This window comes from Homo sapiens, chromosome 8, assembly GCF_000001405.40.
Source record: "Homo sapiens chromosome 8, GRCh38.p14 Primary Assembly".
NCBI classification, from domain to species: domain Eukaryota; kingdom Metazoa; phylum Chordata; class Mammalia; order Primates; family Hominidae; genus Homo; species Homo sapiens.
The window spans coordinates 141,144,126-141,162,701 of NC_000008.11; the positions used below are offsets into that span (position 1 = coordinate 141,144,126).

Below are 18,576 nucleotides of genomic sequence, written 5' to 3' on the forward strand. Positions count from 1 at the left end.
AGTTTTGTGTTTCGAATTTCAGTTTATTGGCTCTTCTGAAGCCCTGTAAAGATTTTGAAGTGGACAGTCATATAAAAGATTTCGCTGCGAAGCTGTCTTTAATACCCAGCCCGCCACCTGGACCGCTCCATTTGGTAAAGTATATCTGAAATTATATTGTTTTTTCTTTGCAAATAGTAAAAGTAAGATGTTGAAGATAATGTAAATGCTCACAACTATTTCTGAAGTTCTAGCTGTTGTAAACCTAAAATAACATCCTAACCCCCCCGCCTCCCCACAGCTGACTGACTGGACCCCCTTTTGGCCAAGGGGACCCCAGAGAAACCCAAAAAACAGAATGACTGGCCAGAATGGAAGGGAGGTCAGACACGCCTGGTTATACCCTCTCCCTCTTGCGTGAGTGTATGGGGTGTTTGTGTATAGGGTTGTAAACTAAAACGAAAATCCTAAGCCTCCCTACTGACTGAACAGGTTCCCTCTTGGCCAACGGGACCCTAGAAAAACCTTAAAAATGAAATTCCCGGCCATGACAGGAAGGAAGGTCAGACACGCCTTGTTATGCCCGCTCCCTTTTGGAGTTTAGGCACAGCTGACCAGCATTAGGTTAAAATGGAGATCCTAAGACCGACAGAACAGACTCTCTGTGGCCATAAGATTCCAAATTATGAACAAAACCTAAGGTCACACAAAGCAAGGGTTAAGTCACTCCCTACAAACCATAAGAGCTCCTTAAACAGGTATAATGTAGCTTACTTTCCAACCTGACTCTGGTATAGCATCCATGACAGATAGCAGACCCTGAAGAAAATCAAAGTATTTTACTGCAAATATGTTTCTTTGACATATTTTGAAATGGCACTGCAAAGCTGTCTTTTGTGGGGGAAATTTGCATCTGTAGAGAATCTATTCATGCAGCCAGGCCTGCCTTCCTAGGCCTTTGCCAGATCTAGGAGAGATGAACTGAGAGCCTGACACCTTTAAAGTGTGAAAAGAGACATTCACCATCTCTTCTCTCTGAGGGCTGCCACCTGTGAGGCTTCATTTATGTAGCAAGGGCCTCAGCCGCACACCCCCTTATCTTGACTCAGGCCTTCTTTCCCACTGACTTCAGATCTTTAGACAGTAGCTCATCTTTCTCAACCAATTGCCAAGTAAAGAATCCCTGAAACCCACCTATGACTTATACCCTCCTTCCTCTTTGAGATGCCTCACCTTTTTGGGCCAAACCAACCTCAACCTTCCATGGACTGATGTATGTCTTTGCCTGTCACTCCTGTCTCTGTAAAATGCATAAAACCAAACTGTAACCCGGCCCTCTGGGGACCACTCTTTAGACTGTTCCCTAGGCCACGGTCACTCAGAATAAACCCCTTTAAAATATTTGATAGAGTTTGGTTTTTCCATTAACACTGTGCTTAAATTATGTTTCTCAAGGTCCTTATGGGAACATTTTATATACTCTTCCTAAAGGTGAAAAGTTAAATATTTAGACTTGAGTTTTGCAGAGTGGGCTGTGATAAACAGAGCTAGTGATATGTCGTGGCACTTCAGTGGTTAGCATGTCAGTTCATAGCTCCCTATGCAGATAATACATGGAAACCTGAATCCTTTTATAGAAGAATTTATTCAAATTACAGATTTTTCATTTATTTGTTTATTTGTCTTTAATATTGAATATTATATATATATATATATATATATATATATATATATATATATATATATGTATTTTTTTTTTTTTGAGGCGGAGTCTTGCTCTGTTACCCAGGCTGGAGCACAGTGGCGTGATCTTGGCTCACTGCAAGCTCTGCCTCCTGGGTTCAAGACATTCTCTTGCCTCAGCCTCCAGAGTAGCTGGGATTACAGGCGCGTGCCACCACGCTGGCTAATTTTTTGTATTTTTAGTAGAGATGGGGTTTCACCTTGTTAGCCAGGGTGGTCTCGATCTCCTGACCTCGTGATCTCCCCGCCTCGGCCTCCCGAAGTGCTGGGATTACAGCGTGAGCCACCGCGCCCGCCCTGGATATTGTATTTCATTTGTTAGTGTTTTCTCTTGTACAGTGTGATTAATGAGAAGTAACTGGTTTTATATTTTTTGTTACTCTTAGATGTAGTGCTGTGTTACTTAATGAACAGGCAAACATTTCCCAGGCTGGTTTTTTTTCTGAGAGATGTTATTGGCGATTTCAAGACACAGGGTTTGGGGTTAAGTGAAGCTGGAGATGTGGCTGGCCACCTTCCCCTTTTGTTTGTTGAGAAACATGTCAGGTTGCTCAGCTATGTGAAGAAACCTGTTTGACTCAGCATGTTCCAAACTAATTTTAACTGTACTTAGGATGCTGCTTTTTATTTTTTCCTTTAATAGACACCCGTCAAACGTCTCAAAATGTTTAGTAAATGTCGATTCAGTTTCATTGTGCTAGTCCTCTGAAAGATTATACGTATTAATCTTGATCTTCTACATTTTTCTTTACTGACAATGGAAAAAATAAGTTTCTTGTATCAAAAGACACATGATTGTGAACTTAAAATGTGCGTTTTTAACATTACCCCAACCCCAGCAGTCTGCTGGGTGGAAAATCCTGCCGGTGCATTCCAGTCCAGATACGCAGCAGGCCACCCGTCTCTGTCAGCTCTGCTCCCAGAAGCCTTTGTAGGGCATGTTTATCGGCCGCGTGTTTTATGTGGATAGTTGGCATTTTCTTGTCAACAGTATGTGCAGTGAAATCATCAAAGTTTATGTTCTTGTTCTGTAAACGCAGCAAGTATTTACTGAGGGCCTGTGAGATCCGTGAACAGAGCCAGACCTCTGACTTGAGAGCAGTTTCAGGGTCAGCAGTAATGAGCTGCACTCGGCCTTTGAACATAAGGAATGCGTGCGTAGCACTCCCAGCGCTGCTCCGGGTCTCCTGGCCCGATGACTCTCGGCTCCTTCATCTCGACGCACCCGTGAGGAAGGTGACTGAGGGTTGCCGCTGGCCTGCTCTTCCCTCACCCATTCCGTCCATCACTCAGCCTCGCCGGACTACCTTCAGTGTTCCTTTCCAGTTTGCCCATTTCCTTGCTGCCACTTCACTCTGGGTCACCAGCTGCTCCCCGCTGCGTGACTTGGGGACCACTGGCCTGTCTGCTTTGGTTCATTCTCCACCCTTCCATTTGTCCTCTGCACAGTGGCTGCAGAGATTATTAACATGTGGATATTGGGCTTTGCTTCTCTTCCCCAAGCCCCACAACAGTTTCTCACCGTCTACCTTCCTCAGTCCTGCAGCCTGGACCCTGTCTCACTGTCCAGCTCTGTTTTATGCCACTCCCCCAGCGTGCTGATGTCTGGCCTCACTGGACTCCTGTCCATTCCCTGAAGGTGCCGCCACAGGGCCCTTGCACACGCTGTTTCCACAAACACTGTTTCCTCCATTTTCTTGTGGCCAGCTGTGGCTCATCTCTGGTCACTCTCAGCGGTCAGGTCTTCGGATCGTCTTCTCTGAGTGACCCCCACTCCCCGTCTCTCCGATAGCACCCAGTTCTCATCCCGCAGGGCACGGCACAGTTTGTAATTAGGGCTTCTGTGCATGTGTTTTTGTTTAATGTTCGTCTCCCCCATCAGACTCTGAGCTGCACGAAGGTAGAGGCCACACCCAGCACCGCATATCCAGAGCTCACAGCCGGGCCCGCACAGAGCTGCCCAGCAGTGAGCTGTGTGGTGGGCGAGCGTGTGCAGGGATGCCTCGGATTGCTGTGTTAGCCAGTCAGTGCCTGCTGATCTGCGTCCCGTGCGTGTGTCTGAATGAGTGACTCAGTCTGTATCGGGCTTGACTCAGTGCAGCTCTCCCATACCAAGTCTAATTAGCTACTGGCTCTAAGTTGGTATAATGCTTGTGATCTGTTTTAGGGAATGTCATACATGAGTGTTTATTGTTTTGAATAAATCCAAGAGGTCAGTGTAGGCCAAGGTTCTCATCTGATGCAGGAGCCAACCCAGCCATATTTTCTAGAACCCACTGCAAGCTTAGAGGCTGTTTTCGAGAGCAGTAGTGAGATGGGTCTTGTGTTTTGAATGCGTGTGTGTGCGTTCCTCATTACTTCTGGTCCGGGTTATCTCTGATCTATGCTGGTGGAAAGGAGGGAGGAGGGAGGGGGCCCCATGGCACAGGGGGTAGAGGACAGAGCCATGCCCTGTGCCTTGATTCCCTGGTTCCCGTTCAGCCCCCTTCCTCTGATGGTGCATGGACCAACAGCCGGAGCAGGGCAAAGACTAGAAACAGCCCCACTCTGCGCTCACCTGCCTTTTCTTGCCCTCCAGCGGGACTGATTTTACTTGCTTTGCAAATCTTTGGCTTAATTGGGTGTGCAAAATCTCACACACACACACATTCTTCTCTTGTACCGTATCTGAGTCATTTTCTATGTTGCTTTGTATGTGACACCTGTTCTTTCCTGGGGCTCAAATCAAGCTGAGATTTGGAAACTGTTTACCTTAAATATCTCTCTCCTCAGTCTGTTCATCTATGGAGTGGGTGAAATAACAGCCCACTTCAGAGAGTATGAATATTATATGCTGGAAAATCTCTAGCATGCACCCGAGACCAACCAAAGGCTGGTGGAGTGATTAGCATTTGTATTTTTTTTTTTAATCTTTAATTGGATAGCTGGTCGGCACATTTGTTTTTTGAAATATTGAAAATGTTTCATGTAAAGTTGACAATTATTAATACTGTGCCACAACTTGGATAATTTAACTTTGATTTCTTTTCTTTTACATAAAGAACTTTATTCACATAAATGAATCTGCCTTTTTTTTTTTTTGAGAGGAGTTTCGCTCTTGTTGCCCAGGCTGGAGTGCAATGGCACAGTCTCGGCTCACCGCAACCTCTACCTCCTGGGTTTAGGCGATTTTCCTGCCTCAACCTCCCGAGTAGCTGGGATTACAGGCATGTACCACCATGCCTGGCTAATTTTGTATTTTTAGTAGAGACAAGGTTTCTCCATGTTGATCAGGCTGGTCTTGAACTCCTGACCTCAGGTGATCCGCCCGCCTCAGCCTCCCAAAGTGCTGGGATTATAGGCATGAGCCACCACACCCGGCCGAATTTGCCTTATTTTTAACATGGCTTGCTTCTGTACACAAATTGGTAACAAGAAAGCAAAGAGACCCAAGCACAGTAGGTCCTCAGCGTGGCTGGCAGGTTCTCAGAAACTGCAACATTAAGCCCTGGGTCACAAAATCAATTTCACCATAAACTAATTGATGCAGACAAGAGTTAAGTTCCTATGGCATACTACTGGTCATAAAAAATCACCAAACTTCTAAATAAAGACCCAAAGCACTTCTGATATTAAACATTGAAGTAAATGGGAGCTGTACACACATTTAAGAACAATTAATTAAAGTAAGGAGGAACATCATTTACCTGCTTATTGCAGTTCAGGGTTGAGGGTGGACGGAGGCCATCCCGGCAGCTTAGGGCCAAGGCGGGAACCAGCCCTGGCCGGATGCTGTCCCATGGCAGGGCCAATCCCACGCTCTCCCACACTTGCTCACACGGGGACCTGTCCATATGTGCCGGTTGGGCTTCAGGAGGACCTGGAGAAAACCTAGCCGGGCACGGGCATGAGGAGAATGTGAAGGTGTCCCCCGCTGGGACGCGATTCCTTTTTCTCATCAACATTATAACAAAACGATGTTATTCAAGGACCTGCGTCTTGTTAGGAAGCAACGCTGGTGTCCCCACCACCAAGAAATTACCACCTTTTCTTGTTTTCAGTTTCTCGTGTGCAGGCATGCTTAGAATACAGACTTGGGAGACTGGGAGAAAGCAGGGCCACGGGAGACCTTGTTTGTGACCTGTTTTCTCCCCCCGGCTCCCTGCTTCGCTTGATTTCTTACCCTCCCAGGTGTTCCCTTGATGGAGTCTCAGCTGTCTGCTCTGATCATGTCTCTCCTTTCTGTTTCCCTGTGCTTTGCTTACACTTAGATCCGTCCATTACGCTCGTTTCCTGGAGCTTTGGGTGCCGAGCTGGGCACCCAGCATTTCCTGAGGGCCTCCCACGTGCCAGCACCCGGGTGGCAGGAACTCGCTGTTTGCAGCCCATTTCCTGGCAGGCTCAGAAGCCCTCCCTCAGTGAAGGAACTGAACCTTCTCCTCTGGATTTCCTCCGCCAGGTCCAGCCGTGTCTCAGTAGCCATTCTGTGAATACAGAATTTGAACTGAAGTGTGACTTCAAAGTAATACATTTAGAAAAACGTCTTTCTTAAAATTTGAAATGCACATGTCTTGAAGGAGCTTTGACTATTAAATTGTCAAAGCTATTAAAAGAGAGTTCATAGCATACACTAACTAAAAAGAATATGTAATACCTAAGAATAATTTGAACATGCTTGATTTAGAATTTGTGTTAATTGGGACAAATATCTGTCCTGTAGTTTATCTCTGTCTAGACAATGAGTAGTTTGCTGATTAATTAGAGCTTAAGGAATTTTGGCTTACTTAGAAAAAGACATTAAGTACTTAATTTATGTTTGAGCCTTTATCGGCAGTTCTGTATATCTCTAGACCGTTTGGTTATTCTGCAGAATTTAACGTGGCAGCCTGTGTCTTCAGAAATGTTTTCTAACTCTGATGCCCTGGGCACCGAAATAGTGACAGTAGTGCACGTCAGCCTCTGCCCGGAGCAGCTCTCTGAACTAATGACGGGAACTGGTTGTCGTAGGTATTTAACATGAAGTCGCTCCAGATTGTGTTACCTGCCCGAGCAGACCCCGAAAGCCCCATCCTGGACCTGGACCTTCACCTGCCCTTGCTGTGCTTCAGGCCTGAGAAGGTGCTACAGGTACGCGGCCCCGCCCCGGCGAGCGCGTCTTGTGCTCCCTGCCTTAGTGGGGCATCAGAGCAACGATCAGAGATGATGAAGATGCGAGTTTATTCCACAATGCACCGACTGGTATACTCGAAATGTTTATTATTATTTTTTAAAGCCAATGTTCCCTACAGTGCATGATATTTGCAAATGGCACCCTTTGCAGAGTCTCAGGTGGCTTTTGTTTGGCAGATGGAGCTGAGGGACCAGGGAAGAGCCCGCAGTCAGTCTGGTTTGGTTGGGTGGTGTGTTTATGAGCATTTTCTCTTTATTGTACTGAATCAGAAGTGTGTACATGGGCCGGGTGCGGTGGCTCATGCCTGTAATCCCAGTACTTTGGGAGGCGAAGTGGAAGGATTGCTTGAGGCCAGGAGTTTGAGAACAGCCTGAGCAACATAGGGAGACCTTGTCTCCACAGAAAAATTTTACAATGAGCTGGATGTGGAGGCACGTTGCTGTGGTCCCATCTGCTTGGGAGGCCAAGGTGGGAGGATTGCTTAAGCCCAGGAGTTCGAGGCTGCAGTGAGCTATGATCACACCACTGCACTCCAGCCTGGGCTGGGCAACACAGCGAGACCCTGTCTGTATTTTTTTTTTTTTTAAAAGCATGTACTCAGTGCGGCGGGTTCTCCCCTCAGATCCTGACATGCATCCTGACGGAACAGCGGATCGTCTTCTTCTCCTCGGACTGGGCTCTGCTGACGCTGGTCACTGAGTGCTTCATGGCCTACCTGTATCCGCTGCAGTGGCAGCACCCCTTCGTGCCCATCCTGTCGGACCAGATGCTGGATTTCGTCATGGCCCCCACGTCCTTCCTGATGGGCTGCCATCTCGACCACTTCGAAGAAGTCAGCAAGGTTAGGTAGCGAACCTTTGACTTGGAATGCTAAATTCCTGTGAGTCCATCACGGGGACACATGGGAAGATGCGTCTGAAAGTGCTCCGCGGTGAAGGCGGGGTCTGTGTGCCGCAGAGAGGTCACGGGTACCGTGAGAAGTGGCTGTTCACTCACTGTGTCATTGTCCTGTGATGAAGCCGGGACCCCTTAGTCTCCTAGTGGAGACAGGACAGTGAGTGTGCCCACCTCATTGTCCCGGTGAGGGCCGAGTGAGGCAGTAGCCAGCACTGGGCCTGCAGCAGGTGCTCATAGATGGTACTGTTGTGACCCCTCTGTGAATCTGACACAGCATGTTTTTAGTTGGTGAGCTGATGGATTTGTGCTAAATATTGCAATGATGCCAGGAGGTGGACTGGGTTTGGTTTTTAAAAATAGCTTTATTGAGATACAATTTACATACCTCAAAGTTTACCCAATTAAAATGTATGAATCAGTGGGTTTTAGGATATTTATAGAGTTGTGCAATCATCCGCCGTCCAATTTTAGAAGGGAAATTTTCATCACACATTAGCAGTCAGCCCCCAGGGCCTGACAGCCACACCCATGCGCTTTTTCTCTGGGTTTGCCGGTTCTGGACCTCTCGTGGGAACAGAGTTGCTCCATGCGCTATCCTTCCATCTGGCTCCTTCCACTTCACGTCATGGCTTTGAGACTCCTCCACGTGGTAGCATCTCTCAGCCCTTTATTTTTATTGCTGACTAGGGTTTCATTGTATAAATAGACCGAGTTTTGTCCATCCACTCACAATGAGGTCGTCGTGATAAAATCTTCATCACACTGTTCAGTGATGACCGTGTGGGTTGTTTCCACCTTTTGGCTGCTCTGAACACTTGTGTGCAAGTTTTTGTGTGGATATGTGCTTTCGTTTCTCTCGGGTGTGTCCCTAGGAGTGGAATTGCTGGGTCATAAGGCAGCTCTTTGTTTAACCCTTTGAGGAACTGCTAAGCTGTTTTCGCAAAGCGGCCGTGCCGTTTTACACTCCCACCAGCAGTACGAGGGTTCTAGCTTCTCCTAACGTCCGCGCCAGCGCTGGTTGTTGTCTGCCATTTGAATTGCAGCCCTGCCCCCGACCCGGTGAGGAGGAGCTGGTATCTCACTGTGGTTTGATGTGCATTTCCCTGGTGACGAATGATATTGGGCATCTTTTCCTGTGTTATTGGTGGTTTGTACAGGGTCGGTTTACATTTAACTTTCCATTTTGAACAATATCTTTCTTTTTTTTTTTTTTTTTTTGAGACAGAGTCTCGCTCTGTTGCCCAGGCTGGAGTGCAATGGCGTGATCTCGGCTCATGGCAACCAATGCCTCCCGGGTTCAAGCGATTCTCCTGTCTCAGCCTCCCGAGTAGCTGGGACTACAGGCATGTGCCACCACACCTGGCTAATTTTTGTATTTTTAGTAGTGATGGGGTTTCACCATGTTGCCCAGGCTGGTTTCAAATTCCTGGCCTCAAGTGATCCGCCCACCTTGGCCTTCCAAAGTGCTGGGATTACAGGCGTGAGCCACCACGCCTTGCTCCATTTTGAAAATTTCTAAGTGTGCACAAAAATAGAAGAACACAGCGTGTGTCATGCGCCCCTCACAGTCCTCAGCCTGTTGCCAGCTTCGCAGTCACCCCCAGCCCCGCTTTTCCCGGAGCGTTTTAAAGCAAATCCCAGGGTCCAGATGCTTCCCCCACAAGTGTTGGGAAGGGCCCGTTGGCTGGGCCCGGCCAGGGTCCCCGCTGCGGGGGAGAACAGTGCTTGTGTGTTCCTGCCAAGGCGAGTGACTCACTGGGGAAAACACACTTCAGGAAAAGGCCAGGCAGACCTCTGTGGAAGGAACGGAAAAGCGTCATCCATCCCGCCTCGCAGACGAGGAGAAAATAAGCTGTGTTGTGAAGTTTAAAGTTGTTTCTTTTTTTAGTCATTAGGGGAACAAAATTGTGTTTCAGGCTCTTTTAGGAGGACAACTTTCTTCCACATGTTCACCTAGCAGTTCCAGTCAGCAGTGGGGGACACCTTTGAGGCACTCACCTGTTGGGAAAGATTTCAGGAGAGGCAGCTGCTCTTCTGGATTTGTTTGGGTGTTTTGTTTTTGTGTTTTGTGGCTGGCGGTGGGATCTGCAGGAAGGAGCTGGCAGTGACCCTATGCGCCTCCACCAAACACTTGTGTCTCCCAAAGACGCTGGGCGTTAACACATCCACGGGACCGGCTGTGTGCCTCGCTGCTTTAGCGTTTTGTGTATTTGCCTTGTAAGGTTTTGAGGCCAAGAATGTGTTTGCACATATTTCATGTAGCCACCTGAACTGCACTCCAAAGGGCGGGGCCCAGAATGAGAGCCGGGGAGTCGGGGCCTTCCCCAGGAACCTGGCATTGCATTCCGGGGCTGTTGAAGTGCAGGGCTCGGGTGCGTGACTCAGTATTTGTGTACTCTGTCACAGGAGCCTCTCCAAGTCATCATGTGCATATCTCAAATATTCCAGGGCTACGCGGTCTCTTAGCCCAGGCCCCTGCCCATGCTCTGGTGCTTGGAGGGGCGGAGCTGGCTGGGGAGCTGAGCCAACACAGTGGATGTTGGAGGTTGGTGGTGCCCTCACTGGAGTTCTGGAATGCTCCCTCCAAGACTCCCAAAAAGCAGTACATGCAGTGTTTGTTCCAGGGTAGGAGAAACCTTGTCAACAACATGTATTGGAATCTTTTTTTTTTCTTTTTTTTTTTTGTGAGATGGAGTTTCGCTCTTGTTGCCCAGGCTGGAGTGCAATGGCACGATCTCAGCTCACTGCAACCTCCGCCTCCTGGGTTCAAGCGATTCTCCTGCCTCAGCCTCCTGAGTAGCTGGGATTGCAGGCACACGCCACCATGCCTGGGTAATTTTTGTATTTTTAGTAGAGACGAGGTTTCACCATGTTGGCCAGGCTGGTCTCAAACTCCTGATCTCAGGTGATCCACCCACCTCGGCCTCCCAAAGTGTTGGGATTACAGGCATGAGCCACTGCACCCAGCCTGTGTTGGAATCTTCACTGAAAGAGAAAGGCATATGGGTAAGCAAAATGTGGTCTTTCCAAATAATGGACTATTCAGGCTGAAGAAGCAAGGATGTTCTGACACATGCCTCAGATGGGTGAGCCTCACAGACATCAACGTGGAGTGAAATAGGCCAGTCCCAAAAGAACAAATGCTGTTCGTGAATCCACTCATTTGAGGTCCCTAGAGGAGTCAAATTCATGGAGACAGAAAGCAGATTAGTGGGCTTGTGGAGGGGAGGCTGGGAGCTGTGCTGGATAGTGAGTCTCAGTTTTGGGATGATGAAAACATTCTGGGGATGGCTGGGGGAGATGCTTGCACAACCACTCGAATGCACTTACACTGTCGAGCTGCACGCTTAACATTGGTTACGTTGACACAGTTTATGTTTATTTTACCACAATTAAGAAAAATAAGAGAAAGGCATATTTAATCAAATTTAGCCCATTAACATAGCTCATGATATATACTAGATTTTTGTGTAGAAAATATGAGGCTATGTGTGCATTTATTTTATTTTATTATTATTATTATTTTTTGAGACAGGGTCTTGCTCTGTTGCCCAGGCTTCCGTGCAGTGGTGTGATCTCGGCTCACTGCGGCCTCAACCTCCTGGGCTCAAGGGATCCTCCTGCCTCAGCCTCCCAAGTAGCTGGGACCATAGGCATGTGCTACCACACCTGGCTAATTTCTTTTAAATTTTTTGTAGAGACAGGGTCTCACTGTGTTGTTCAGGCTGGTCTCAAACTCCTGGGCTCAAGCAGTCTGCCTGCCTTGACCTCTCAAAGTGCTGGGATTACAGGTATGAGTCACTGCACCCGGCCTATGTGTGCATTTTAAAGAGGGTCATTTAATTAATGATGACACTGTCTTAGTGAACTCAAAACATATTTATGTGTTTTCAAAGAGGTATACAAATTCCGAAATTCTTTTATCAATCTTTACAGATGATTCCTTGTTTTCTAGGAAGCCGACGGTTTAGTTCTGATAAATATTGATCATGGGAGCATCACCTACTCCAAGTCCACGGACGATAACGTGGACATTCCTGATGTCCCCCTCCTGGCAGCCCAGACGTTTATTCAGAGGTAACGGGAAACATTAATGGTATGAATTTCAGACCGTCTTTGTTCAGATTCTGTATTTGCCACTTCGAGTATCTTTTCCAATTTTATATAACTGATAGATGTTTTATATATTATAGTTTGGAAATTATTTGTGAATTTTGTTTTCTGAGATTGAGTCTCACTCTTGTTGTTCAGGCTGGAGTGCAGTGGCGCAATCTCGGCTCACTGCAACCTCTGCCTCCCACGTTCAAGCGATTCTCCTGCCTCAGCCTCCCAAGTAGCTGGGATTACAGGCGCCCACCACCATGCCTGGCTAATTTTTGTATTTTCAGTTTTCACCATGTTGGCCAGGCTGGTCTTAAACTCCTGACCTCAAGTGATCTGCCCACCTTGGCTTCCCAAAGTGCTGGGATTACAGGTGTGAGCCACCGCACCTGGCCATGAATATTTTGAAATGAAAGTGATTTGTCTTTATTCCAATCTTGTCTGAATGTTACTTCAAGTCAAGAGACAGTCACATCCTGTCTCTTGAGAGGAAACCTACTCAACCTCTGTGCTGTGCCCCAGGATCCTGTGCCTGTGATCCTTGAAGTTCCCTATCCATTCATTCATTCATTCACTCATTCATTCATTCATTCATTCACTAGATGTGTATTGCATACCCGTCGTATACCCGGAATTGGGCAGTGCCTGTGTACTAATGACAGGACAGCCATGGCCCCTGCCCCTTGAGTTTGTCTGCTGGGTTCTGATGGGCATGACGCATTCTGTCCGAGCTAGAAGTTGTCCATTTCTTTCACTCCCGCCACTGTATTGGCACTTTATCTTTTCTTTTTCTTTCCTTTTTTTTTTTTTTTTTTGAGATGGAGTCTCGCACTGTTGCCCAGGCTGGAGTGCAGTGGCGCAATTTTGGCTCACTGCAACCTCTGCCTTCTGGGTTCAAGCGATTCTCCTGCCTCAGCCTCCCGAGTAGCTGGGATTGCACCTCCACGTCTGGCTAATTTTTTGTATTTTTAGTGGAGATGGGTTTCACTATGTTGGCCAGGCTGGTCTTGAACTCCTGACCTTGTAATCTGCCTACCTCAGCCTCCCAAAGTGCTAGGATTACAGGCATGAACCACTGTGCCCGGCCTGGCACTTAATTTTTTCACACCGTTTTATAGTTTATGTTTTCTTTCATCTCTGTTACTCAACCTCATTGGCTTAGATCAGGCGTCAGCAAACTTTTTCCAACAAGTGTCAAATAATATTTCATGCTTTGGGGCTCTGAGGTCTCTGTCGAGGTGCAAAGGCTTGGCAGGGACTTTGGTCAGGGGAGGGTGAGAGGAGGTGTAATTGCTAATTACGTCAGGACGGAGGTGTTGGGTGTGCCCCAAGCAGTGACTCAGCTTCAGTGCCAGGGCTCCCTCGGGGTTGCTCTGCGGAGCTCATTTTTCCCTTCAGCATTTTATAAAATGATAGCAGGAGGAGAGATCCTGCTCTTGAGTCCTCACAACCTGTGGGTCCAACTGCAGCCAGGCCCTGAGTGCGGTCGTGGAGGTGACGCTGGAGGGAGGGGAGCGCTTAGGCTTTTTGCAAACAGCCGGGCTGTACTTGCTTCTGGTGAAGCCTGTGATGCAGTCTGGATTTCAGTCAGCCATCACCTTTCTTCTCTTCGCCTTCCTTTGTCTGCATTGGGAGGAGTGGGAAGGAGGAGGGCGGTTTCTGGCCTGGCCTTTCACCTGGCTTTTCTGATTTCTGACTCTTACCTTGGTGTGGATTATTCCTTCTACCTGGAAGGTTTCTGAAAAATGTTTAGGAAAACTACCTCTTTTTTTTTTTTTTTTTGGAGACAGGGTCTTGCTCTGTCACCCAGGCTGGGGTGCAGTGGCGTGATCTTGGCTCACTGCAACCTCCGCCTTCCAGGTTCAAGCGATTCTCCTGCCTCAGCCTCCGGAGTAGCCGGGATTACAGGCATCTGTGACCATGCCCGACTAATTTTTGTGTTTTCAGTAGAGACAGGGTTTCACCATGTTGGCCAGGCTGGTCTCGAACTCCTGACCTCAGGTGATCCACCTGCCTGGGCCTCCCAGAGTGCTCAGATTACAGGCGTGAGCCACCGCGCCCAGTCGGAGAACTACCTTTATTATTGTTCTTGCATCTTAAAAAATTCCCTAAGGCCTTAAAGCCAAGCGATGGTCCTGCACAGGCAAGGCTGGTTTCTGCTTGCTTGGGCTGTGGAATCGCTGGGCTCTCCTCCCCAGCCAAGGGCACCTGAGCAGCTGTTCTGTTGGCAACTGTCCTCTGCGCGAACTTTGAAGGAGACACGTGCTTTCCCAATCATCTCAGTTACTTTCTGGTAAGCCACAGCTGCTTCCTTGACTTTTAGAGCGTGACATTCTGTAATAGAACTGAGCTTTGTGAGACTGTGTTGAAGCTCTGAGCATTCCCAGGAAGGTAGGATTCTGCCTGCATCCTCATCTTCTTGTTAGAATTCCGGAATAGAAACACACACGATACGGAGGCTGGGCCCCGCTTTGGCTAGATCCCCCAGAATGGGGATGCAGGATGTCGTGTCTCCCACAGCCTCATTTTTGGAGACTCTTTTGTAAACACAAGCTAATCCCTGTGCCATGGGTGACCTGTCTATAAGAGGCCTCTGAGCTCATGATACAGGTTGTGGGCTGCGGTGTCGTTGGGGTGCCTGCTCAAGGGGCTCTGGAGTACAATATGCATCTCTCTGCACGTGAGCGTGTGGCTGGGAGGGACGGGGCAGCCCCCTCCTTGCCCAGCTTTCCCCAGCACCCTTGGCTCTTGGTCACTCTCTTCACTGCTGTCTTCATCTCTGATGGAAGTCGCTCTCTCCCTGGGCAGCAGGGGTAGGGTCGCCAGCTCAGGGCTATGCTGGCTGCGTGCTTGGGTGAGGGAGGCATGGGGTTCCGGGAGAGGGGATGGCCATCTCCTTCAGACCCCACTGTCCCTGCACCAGAAGATGCAGTAAGAGAAGCTGCCACTCCAGGTGGCATCATAGCCCTTTTTACATGAGGAAAGTCATCAAAATTTCTTTCCCTGGCATTCTGCGTGTTCTTTCAGATGAAAGGCCAGTTTGGTGCTGGTAAACATCACAGTTCTTGAGACCCATCTAGGCAAGGGTAGTTGCCCAAGTCCTGTGAGTCTGGTCAGCCAGGGCTGGGCTGGCCCCTCAGCAGCTGCTGCTCAGCACGTTTGGAGAGAACCCTGGTCCTGGCCCTGGCACCGCGTGCCTGCCTGCTACCATCCCCTGGTGGGCCACTCCACCCAGAATCCCGTTCTTCCCTTTTCCTGTCCCTGCCTCCAGGAGGGTCAGGCAGCGGCAGGGGCCTGTGGCCAGTGCACCCTTCCCATCACAGAGAAGATTGGCTCCTGCCGGCCATGCTGACCTGGCCCACACTCCCACTCCCCCTACCATGCTGGGCCGCACTGGGTCCATCAAGTCCCCCGTCTGTGTCTTCCTGTCACATCTCCGGTTCCAGGTCGTCTCCTGGGAGAACTCTTCTCTGCCCGCTCAGTCTGACTGCCGTGTCTCTCTAGCCCATCGCTGTGATGTGCGTTTCTGCCTGATGTCCTCATTATCTCCTGTTTTCTTGATTTGTCTCTTTTCCTACTTCCTCCCACTCACATGGAAGTGCCACGCAGGCAGGGGCTTGGCCTGTGTCCACCACCCATCCCTAGCACACAGATCAGTGTATGGCATACAGTAGGTGCTCAAGAAATATGTGTGACCAGATATGCGTTGGTTCTGTTTATTTTGTATATTTCTAACGTCCCTCTAGACATGCAGCCTTTAGTGGTGTTGGGAAGGCCAGGGGTCCAATCTCATGGTGGCTCAGGGTTGACAGATATCTGTGAGTTCCTGTCCCTGAGTGAGGCCCTCTGGGGTGAGCCTTTGGCCATCTCCTGGTGGGCCAAGAGTGGTGACACCCGGGACGTTTGTTGCAGGGCACAGAGGGGCATCTGATCCTGCCTGGGCAGGAAGTACAGAGGGGAAGCCATGGGGGAGCTGTGACTGTCCCTTCTAGGCAGCCATGAGTGACCCGTCAAGAGGCAGCCTGACCTGGAAGCCTTTGGTGACCTAGAAGGGGGAGTGCCCTCACTGCAGTGGCAGGACAGGAATGAGCTGGCCTGGGTGAAGTGTGCATAGTCCAAGTCGAGGCCCATGTGAGTCCATGTGTGGAGGTGAATCCACTCTTCCAGTCTTCCAGCGATGTATTTTTTTTTTTTTTTTTTTAAGACAGAGTTTCGCTCCTGTTGCCTAGGCTAGAGTGCAGCGGCACTATCTCGGCTCACTACAACCTCCACCTCCCAGGTTCAAGCGATTCTCCTGGCTCAGCCTCCCGAGTAGCTGGGATTACAGGTGCCTGCCACCATGCCTGGCTAATTTTTGTATTTTTAGTAGAGAATGGGTTTCACCATGTTGGCCAGGCTGGTCTTGAACTCCCTGACCTCAGGTGATCCACCCACCTCGGCCTCCCAAAGTGCTGGGATTACAGGCGTGAGCCACCGCGTCCAGCCCCAGTGATGTACTTTAATGACCACCCGCCCCTCAAATTATTGATCGGTATTTGTGTCTGTGAAGTGTTCATTTACCTGGTGGGCTGTGTGCTGGTGAGCGGCCGTGGCCAGTGCTGCTGGGGCTGAGCTAGCTTCGGTCTGCCTCCTTCCAGGGTGCAGAGCCTCCAGCTCCACCATGAGCTGCACGCCGCCCACCTCCTCTCCAGCACAGACCTGAAGGAGGGCCGAGCCCACCGGCGGTCCTGGCAGCAGAAACTCAACTGCCAGATACAGCAGACCACCCTGCAGCTGCTCGTGAGCATCTTCAGGTACGTGAGAGAACATTCCCAGTGTCCATGAGGAGGTAACCAGCCAGCCATCCATTCTATGGGGATCGTGCACCCCGCCCCAGAGGGCAGGCCATTAGTACCATTTGCCTGGCAAACATGAGTGGTCCCCGCCCCCTGCCAAAGCTTTTCTTGTGACTGTAACAATCAGCAGTTACAGGGAGTTTGTTCTTTTGATTCTGACCTTGCCTGTGCCTTCCTAACACCCTCTCCTGCTGGTGACTGCCTTCCTAACAGCTTCTCCTGCTGGTGACTGTGCCTTACTACCTTACTAACGCCCTCTCCTGGTGACCCCCTGCAGGTGGCTGTTTTGGGACAGCCCTCTAGGAAGACGCAAATCTGATAAACCTGCAGGGAGCACCTGTCACTCTGGCCTGTGCTGGCTCCGGGCTCTGGCTCAGTCCGTGGAGGGCTCTGTCCCGAGAGGCCTGCATCCAGGGGCTAGTGAGGGACAGACAGGCCATTTTGATGTGACTCATAAGCTAGATCATGAAACCATCTATGGGAGAGCCACAGGACGGGTGGGGCACTCAAGATGTGCCTGTTAGCAAGTTTTCTTTCTCCTCATTCCACTAATTACAGCATTAGCTACCTCCTGCATGCTATTGCTTCCCCAGCACCTGAGCTGGAATTGGTTAAGTGGACAAGTCAAGTGTGTTTATTTCAGTGTGATACAGTACAGGTATTGAGTTGCTATTTCTGGCCTAAATAGGCAGTCACTTAAGGAATGTATGGCAAAAATGATAGCTTCATAGATAAGTACTTTTTAATGCAAAAGCCTTTGGGCTTCTCCCACCCTTTCTCCTTTTCTCTGGCAGTGTTCTTCCTCTCCTTCTTGCTGGTTGCTCCCTGAGTCCAGCAGTGAAGGAGGCACCCCCGATGCTGGCCTCCTCTGTTCTTGAGGGGCCTTCCGCTTTGGGAGGTGGTTAGCACAGAGCCTGCTGGCTTGATCGTACTCTGCGTGATTATTTCAAAATGGAAATTTGAGTGGCCTTTTTTTTTTTTTTTTTTTTGAGATGGAGTCTCACTCTGTCACCCAGCCTGGAATGCAGTGACGCCATCTGGGCTCACTGCAACTGCCGCCTCCCAAGTTTAAGCAATTCTCCTGCCTCGGCCTCTGAAGTAGCTGGGACTGCAGGCGCCTGCCACCACCACGCCTAACTAATTTTTTCTATTTTTAGTAGAGACAGGGCTTCACCATGTTTACCAGGCTAGTCTCCAACTCCTGACCTCAGGTGATCCTCCTGCCTCGACCACCCAAAGTGCTGGGATTACAGGTGTGAGCCATAGCGCCCAGCCTGAATGGCCTATTCTTTTGATGTATTTGTTTGCATAAAGCGAATAATTTATTAGGAAAAAATGGGATGGTGTATTACAGACATGTGATATTATCTCTGCTCAAAGAGGCATAATTAGTGGGGTCCTAAATATGTTGTTTTCCTTTTGTTCTTTGAAGATGAAATATCTTATGAACAATTTTTTTTTAATTTCTTAATATTTTACAAACTCAATGAGTTGACAGAAAAGCAGAATAGTCCCAGCCACTCCAGAGGCTGAGGTGGGAGGATCCCTTGAGCCTAGAAGTTTGAGACCAGCCTGGGCAACATAGCAAGATCCCGGCTCTTTAAAAAAAAGAGGCAGAAAATATGATTACATATGATAAAACTTTATTTCCCCTAGATGAAATAATTTATTCTCTCCAAGAAAACACTGAACACATTACGTACTAAGTATGCCCTGTAAGGTTATTCATTCTATTTATATATTACTTTAGATCTGGGAGATCATGTGCTAAAATCGCGAGTTTGTAACATGATCTGAGGAAACCGGGTACAAAGAGGTGAAGTGGGCCGGGCTCGGTGGCTCACGCCTGTAATCCCAGCACTTTGGGAGGCC

General features: G+C 48.9%; 1 protein-coding gene across 29 annotated transcripts in view, besides 3 other annotated features; it reads left to right on the forward strand.

Annotated features, from left to right (window-relative positions):
* The window catches only part of DENND3 (DENN domain containing 3), a 67,216-nt gene that overhangs the window by 15,537 nt on the left and 33,103 nt on the right, over positions 1 to 18,576 (forward strand). For 11 of the 29 annotated variants that reach the window (NR_148197.3, XR_007060719.1, XR_928312.4 and 8 more), the window contains exons 5-9: positions 23 to 134; positions 6,709 to 6,828; positions 7,494 to 7,712; positions 11,724 to 11,845; positions 16,507 to 16,662. Coding sequence is in view for 21 of the 29 variants with exons in the window: in NM_001362798.2 (NP_001349727.1) it covers positions 23 to 134; positions 6,709 to 6,828; positions 7,494 to 7,712; positions 11,724 to 11,845; positions 16,507 to 16,662 (729 nt within the window). In the remaining 8 variants the exon portion in view is untranslated. Of the gene's footprint in view, positions 1 to 22; positions 135 to 6,126; positions 6,224 to 6,708; positions 6,829 to 7,493; positions 7,713 to 11,723; positions 11,846 to 13,301; positions 13,364 to 13,729; positions 14,163 to 16,506; positions 16,663 to 18,576 lie in introns of those variants that run through there. The other 18 variants (XR_007060720.1, XR_007060722.1, XR_007060721.1 and 15 more) reach the window with 8 other exon arrangements.
* Positions 9,616 to 10,574: an enhancer, noted in NCBI's record as "H3K4me1 hESC enhancer chr8:142163840-142164798 (GRCh37/hg19 assembly coordinates)". NCBI's record gives its function as "activates a minimal SCP1, AML or CMV promoter by ChIP-STARR-seq in primed H9 embryonic stem cells {active_cell/tissue: H9 hESC(primed)}" and the evidence as "EXISTENCE:reporter gene assay evidence [ECO:0000049][PMID:30033119]".
* Positions 12,875 to 13,650: an enhancer, noted in NCBI's record as "H3K4me1 hESC enhancer chr8:142167099-142167874 (GRCh37/hg19 assembly coordinates)". NCBI's record gives its function as "activates a minimal SCP1, AML or CMV promoter by ChIP-STARR-seq in primed H9 embryonic stem cells {active_cell/tissue: H9 hESC(primed)}" and the evidence as "EXISTENCE:reporter gene assay evidence [ECO:0000049][PMID:30033119]".
* Positions 14,441 to 14,560: an enhancer, noted in NCBI's record as "active region_28046". NCBI's record gives its function as "activates an Ori minimal core promoter by ATAC-STARR-seq in GM12878 lymphoblastoid cells {active_cell/tissue: GM12878}" and the evidence as "EXISTENCE:reporter gene assay evidence [ECO:0000049][PMID:35858748]".